This window comes from Homo sapiens, chromosome 9, assembly GCF_000001405.40.
Source record: "Homo sapiens chromosome 9, GRCh38.p14 Primary Assembly".
Lineage (NCBI taxonomy): Eukaryota > Metazoa > Chordata > Mammalia > Primates > Hominidae > Homo > Homo sapiens.
This window is the reverse complement of record NC_000009.12, coordinates 78,183,646-78,190,443: the sequence shown is the minus strand read 5'-3', so window position 1 is coordinate 78,190,443 and position 6,798 is coordinate 78,183,646.

Below are 6,798 nucleotides of genomic sequence, written 5' to 3'. Positions count from 1 at the left end.
CTTTGGCAAATTATTTAACCATCTTTGTACTCAGGTTTCTTATCTATAAAGTAAAATGGGGGAAATAATTGTTCTCACCTTATAAAACTGTAAAATGCACAACACTGCCATCAATAGGTAAGGATCTAACTCTTCTAAAATAGCTGCATAATATTCCACAGAATAGAAGTACCAACATTCATTTGACCATTCCTAATCATGGCCATTGGTTATTTGGTTATTTCCAGTCTTGTTACTATTATAAACTTTGCTTCAGTAAACATTATTGGACTTAAATCTTAGTGCTTTTATTTCCATAGAATAGATTATTCAAAGTAGGATTGCTGTTTCAATTTAATTGAACAGATTTATACTTGGCACAGGGAGAAGTATATCTCAGGGAGAGTGATATGGTTTGGCTGTGTCCCCACCCAAATCTCAAGTTGAATTGTAGCTCCCATAATTCCCACTTGTGGGAGGGACCCAGTGGGAGATAACTGAATCATGGGGACAGTTTCCCCGATATTGTACTTATGGTAGTGAACAAGCCTCACGAGATCTAATGGTTTTATAAGGGCTTTCTGCTTTCACTTGGCTCTCGTTCTCTCTTGTCTGCTGCCATGAAAGATGTGCTTTTGCCTTCTGCCATGATTGTGAGGCCTCCCCAGCCACGTGGAACTATGAGTCCATTAAACCTCTTTTTCTTTATAAATTACCCAGTATCAGGTATGTCTTTATCAGCAGCATGAGAACAGACTGTTCGAGGAGCGTTCGAGGAGTGTGGTCAGAGACTGGGCAGTCATTGTCCACAGAAATCACATGAATTGCTATGAGTCATATATCCATCTGACTTTTGGCTTGAAGTTCATGTAAGTTCCTTTGGTCTAGGATTCATGAGAACTTTGTCTTTTTTTGGGGTAGATTTATTTTAATCACCACGCAGTTGAGAGTATTGAAGAAATGCTCAAAAACAAAATCACACTGGAGCCACCAGTTTCTCTAGCTTAGTAAAGTGGCTGTAAAAAATTTAAAACTCAGAATGAAATCATAAGCCAATCCCCTACAAATTGGGTATACCACATTACTTTAGATCTCTTGTTTTATGTGACTCAGTTTATAACTGATCTTCCACTTGGGAACCTATTGGTAATTCAAACAACTCTCAATGAAAACGTGTGCTGCCTAATACAAGATCTGTGTCCAGTGATTCTTCAGCAGAATAGGCTCTCTTTTTTTCTAAATTGGGTTCTTTTCCTTCTGTATTTTTCATTTCCCCTTTCCTTTGTACTTAGATGTCTGACCCTTGGTAGGTTCACGGTACCAACACTGAGACTTAGAAATAGATTATTTTCAAATTGCCATTTCTTTACCACACAAGAAGCTTTTCTGATTTCTTGGGCGTTAAGCACTTCCAAACGTCCGGAGACAGAATATGCAATATTCCTTGACATGTTCCTGCTTATCACTGAGCTTCCCTCCTAAATATTTTTTGGAAATACTTATTGCTCCCCCTCTGTGGGACAAAATTGATCTGGCTTCTTTCTGCTACTTTCTAATGGAAATGAATAACAATATGCCTCCCAAAATAAATAGGCCTCAGTCATCCAGGAACACAAAAAAAGCACTCAACCATACAAAGGTATTTGAATCTGTACTCAGCAGCAATTTTTTGCCGGTGTACAAATAAAACAAAGAGGCCAAGCCCAGAGTCCTGACTTACTCCTGGCTGCCTTTTGTCAAACTGAAACTGAGGACATGGGACCACACATACAAGAAGTATGAGGGAAAATGAGGGATTCTAATACACTGGTTTACTTTACTATTTTCTATGAGAGACTTCTTTCATAGAAATATTCTTTAGTAGAGAGGCCATTTGGCATTATGGAAAGTGACTGGACACTGGCATCCAGAAGAAATATTCTTTAGTATTCTAATACTAAATACTCTTTAGTATTCTAATACTAAATACTCTCTGGTATTCTAATACTAAATACTCTCTGGTATTCTAATACTAAATACTCTCTGGTATTCTAATACTAAATACTATTTAGTATTCTAACAAACTGGTTTACTTTAGTATTTTCTGTGAGAGACTTCAACAACAACCATATGGCTTTCAGAAGCTTGTCAGAGCCCTAAAATGGAGAACTGGTATTAATTGCAGGCATGTGCCACCACGCCCAGCTAATTTTTGTATTTTTTGTAGAGGCAGGGTTTCACCATATTGGCCAGGCAGGATTACAAGCGTGAGGCACCGTGCCTGGCCGTCTTTCTTTTCTTTCTTTCTTGTTTGTTTGTTTGTTTTTTGTTTTTTGTTTTTTGTCTAAACCTCTTCTTTCCTTGACCTCCTTTGTATTCTTACTCTGACTTCAGGCTCTCCCCACATTCCCTTTACTTTTTTTTTTTTAACCTGCTTATTCTCACTTCTGGTTTCTGGTCTTCAAGGCAGAAGGGAGGGAAGTTGGGAGGCTGCCCAGGCCTCTTCCCACAGCCTGATGCGTGCCTACTGAGCACAGCTCTTGAAAAGTTCTTTAGATTAGGTCTCTTTCCAGGATGTCTTTGCCTCAGCCCAATTGTCCAAATTGTAAATGGACTTAGCAGCCCTTTTGAAATAAAGACAAATGGGCCACTTAAAACTTCTCTAATTTCTTGTGAAAAGACAAACTCTTACTTATGCCAATTTGTTTCTTCTTCTCTTTTCTAATTTCCCTGCTTTTCAAGGCCACTTTGTACAGATGTAAAGAGGAGGTGGCATTCTATAAGCAGGAAGAATAAAATGTACATAATGAAAGTCCATACTGGCTTTCCAAAAGGGTTACATAAAAGCAAAACAAAACAGAAAGTTAAAATAAAAGGAAGGACAAAGTTATTTTGTTAGGTAAAGACTAACAAAAAACAAATGTGTTACAATATTTAGTTAAACATATAAAAATTAAAAAGCAAAGAATTGAACTAAGAAGGGTTCATTGAGAAAAAGTAGGATCCTCCAAGAAGATAAAAGTTACAAACCTTCATGCCCCAAGTGACATAGAGCCAAAATACATAAAGGAAATACTGTTAGGAATGCTTTGAGAAAACGAAAAAGGGAGGACAAATGTGCAATTGTAGCAAACTGTAACATATCTGTCAGAATTGATCTGCTGAGTGCAGTGGCTCAGACCTGTAATTACAGCACTTTGGGAGGCCGAGGTAGGCAGATCCCCTGAGGTCAGGAGTTCAAGACCAGCCTGGTCAACATGGTGAAACCTCATCTCTACTAAAAATACAAAAATTAGCTGGGCATGGTGGCGCATGCCTGTAGTGTCAGCTACTCTACTCGGTAGGCTGAGGCAAGAGAATCGCTTCAACCAGGAGGCAGAGGTCGCAGTGAGCCGAGGTTGTGCAACTGCACTCCAGCCTGGGTGACAGAGTGAGACTCAATCTAAAAAAAAAAAAAAAAAGAAAAGAAAATTGATATACCAGTTTCAAGTTCTCAAAATTTAAATAAGAATATAAGACATTGCAAATTAAAATATCCAATTAGTAAGAATGATTTAACAGCTATATTCTTAACTATGTTCTCAATGAACAGAAAATTATGTTTTTGTTTTTTTTGCCTTTCAGCCAGAACCACCATCTTCCAGTAATTCGCCAAAATGACGAACTTCATGCGCATCCATGTGAAGAGACCACCAAACAGGCTTTGTGTGAGCAATAAAGCTTTTTAACCACCTGGGTGCAGGCGGGCTGAGTCCAAAAAGAGAGTCAGAGAAGGGAGATAGGGGTGGGGCCGTTTTATAAGATTTGGGTAGGTAAAGGAAAATTACAGTCAAAGGGGTATTGTTCTCTGGCGGGCAGGAGTGGGGGTCACAAGGTGCTCAGTCGGGGAGCTTTTGAGCCAGGATGAGCCAGGAGAAGGAATTTCACAAGATAATGTCATCAGTTAAGGCAGGAATAGGCCATTTTCATTTCTTTTTTGGTGGAATGTCATCTGTTAAGGCAGGAACCGGCCATCTGGATGTGTATGTGCCGGTCACAGGGGATATGATGGCTTAGCTTGGGCTCAGAGGCCTGACATTCCTGCCTTCTTATATTAATAAGAAAAATAAAACAAAATAGTGGTAAAGTGTTTGGATGGCGAAAATTTTGGGGGATGGTTTGGAGAGATAATGGGCGATGTTTCTCAGGGCTGCTTCGAGTGGGATTAGGGGTGGCGTGGGAACCGAGAGTGGGAGAGATTAAGCTGAAGGAAGATTTTGTGGAAAGGGGTGATATTGTCGGACTGTTAGAAGAAACATTTGTCATTTAGAATTATTGGTGATGGCCTGGATACGGTTTTGTATGAATTGAAAAACTAAACGGAATAAGAGAAGGAGGAAAACAGGTATTAAAGGTCTAAGAATTGGGAGGACCCAGGACATCTAATTAGAGAGTGCCTAAGGATATTCAGCATAGTCCTGCCAGCAAAGATTATTCATTTACTTCAAGAGTTAAGAGTGGCAGTTTGGGGATAGCACCAGGAGATATCAGCTGTAATGGCTTGGAGAAACAGTGTAAACTGACGGTGTAAACAAGAGCATGTATGAGTAGTTGAGAATGGTGAATAGGAGTATGACTAGACAGAAGATAGTAGGGATGACAAGTGTTTTGGGGCACAGTCCAAGTTGGTCTGGTGTCTGAAATGAGACTGGGGCCTAATAAAAAGGAGCGTCTATACAGGATCTCAAATGGGCTGTACCTTGTAGCAGTCCGAGGACAGGCCTGAATTCTGAGAAGGGAAAGTGGTAAAAGTATTGTCCAGTCCTTTTTAAGTTGGTGGCTGAGCTTGGTGAGGTGTGTTTTTAAAAGACCATTAGTCTGTTCTACCTTTCCTGAAGACTGAGGACTGTAAGGGATATAAAGGTTTCACTGAATACTAAGAGCCTGAAAAAATGCTTGGCTGATTTGACTAATAAAGGCTGGTCTGCTATCGGACTGTATAGAGGTGGGAAGGCCAAACCAAGGAATTATGTCTGACAGAAGGGAAGAAATGACTGTGGTGGCCTTCTTACACCCTGTGGGAAAGGCCTCTACCTATCCAGTGAAAGTGTCTACCTAGACCAAGAGGTATTTTAGTTTCCTGACTCGGGGCATGTTGAGTAAAACTAATTTGCCAGTCCTGGGTGGGGCAAATCCTCGAGCTTGATGTGTAGGGAAGGGAGGGGGCCTGAATAATCCCTGAGAAGTAATAGAATAGCAAATTTGCCAGTCCTGGGTCGGGGCAAATCCCTGAGCTTGATGTGTAGGGAAGGGAGGGGGCCTGAATAATCCCTGAGGAGTAGTAGAATAGCAGATGGAACACTGAGAAGTTATTTCCTTGAGGATAGATTTCCACGATGGAAAGCAAATGAGAGGTTCTAAGAGGCGGGCTAGTGGCTTGTACTATATAGCATAGCCTGCCTTTGCTGGTGTGTGGCGATTAGGCCTGGTGAAACTGCCATCAATAAACCAAGTGTGATCAGGGTGAGAAACAGGGAAGAAGGAAATATGGGGAAATGGGGTGAACGTCAGGTGGATCAGAGAGATGCAGTCATGAGGGTCAGGTGTGGTATCAGGAATAATGTGGGAGGCCGGATTGAAGTCTGGGCCAGGAACAATGGTAATTGTGGGAGACTCAACAAAGAGTGAGTACAGCTGAAGGAGCCGGGGAGCAGAAAGTATATGCGTCAGGTGTTCGGAAGAAAATAGATTTTGGAAATTATGAGAGCTGTAGAGAGTGAGTTGAGCATAGTTTGTGATTTTAAGGGCCTCTAAAAGTATTAGGGCGGCAGCAGCCACTGCATAGAAACATGATAGCCAGCCTAAAACAGTAAGGTCAAGTTGTTTGGACAAAAAGGCTACAGGACGCGATCCCGGTCCTTGTGTAAGAATTCCGACTGCACAGCCCTGTGCTTCAGCTGTGTGTAATGAAAAGGGTTGGGATGAGTCAGGGAGAGCTAGGGTGGGGGCAGTCTCTAAAGCTGTCTTCAAGGAATGGAAAGAGGAGTGGGGAAAGGATTTAGGATCTATGGCGTCAGCTAGGTTTCCTTTTGTGAGTTTATATAATGGTTTTGTTAGGATGGCAAAACCAGGTATCCAAAGGCAAAAATATTCAACCATGCCCAGGAAGGAAAGGAGTTGTTGTTTTGTAGAAGGGATTGGGGTTTGGGAGATTAGCCGGACATGATCAGCAGGGAGAGCACATGTGTTTTTATGAGAATTATGCCGAGATAGGTAACAGATGAGGGAGAAATTTGGGCTTGACTGAAGTAATGAGGGCTGTCTGTGAAGACTTGTGGCAGTACAGCCCAGGTAATTTGCTGAGCCTGATGGGTGTCAGGGTCAGTCCAAGTGAAAGCGAAGAGAGGCTGGGATGAAGGGTGCAAAGGAATAGTAAAGAAAGCATGTTTGAGATCCAGAACAGAATAATGGGTTGTGGAGGGAGGTATTGAGGATAGGAGAGTATATGGGTTTGGCACCATGGGGTGGATAGGCAAAACAATTTGGTTGATAAGGTGCAGATCTTGAACTAATCTGTAAGACTTGTCTGGTTTTTGGACAGGTAAAATGGGGGAATTGTAAGGAGAGTTTATAGGTTTTAGAAGGCCATGCTGTAACAGGCGAGTGATAACAGGCTTTAATCCTTTTAAAGCATGCTGTGGGATGGGATATTGGCATTGAGCAGGGTAAGGGTGATTAGGTTTTAATGAGATGGTAAGAGGTGCATGATCGGTCACCAAGGAGGGAGTAGAGGTATCTTATACTTGTGGGTTAAGGTGGGGGGATACAAGAGGAGGACGCAAAGGAGGCTTTGGATTGGGA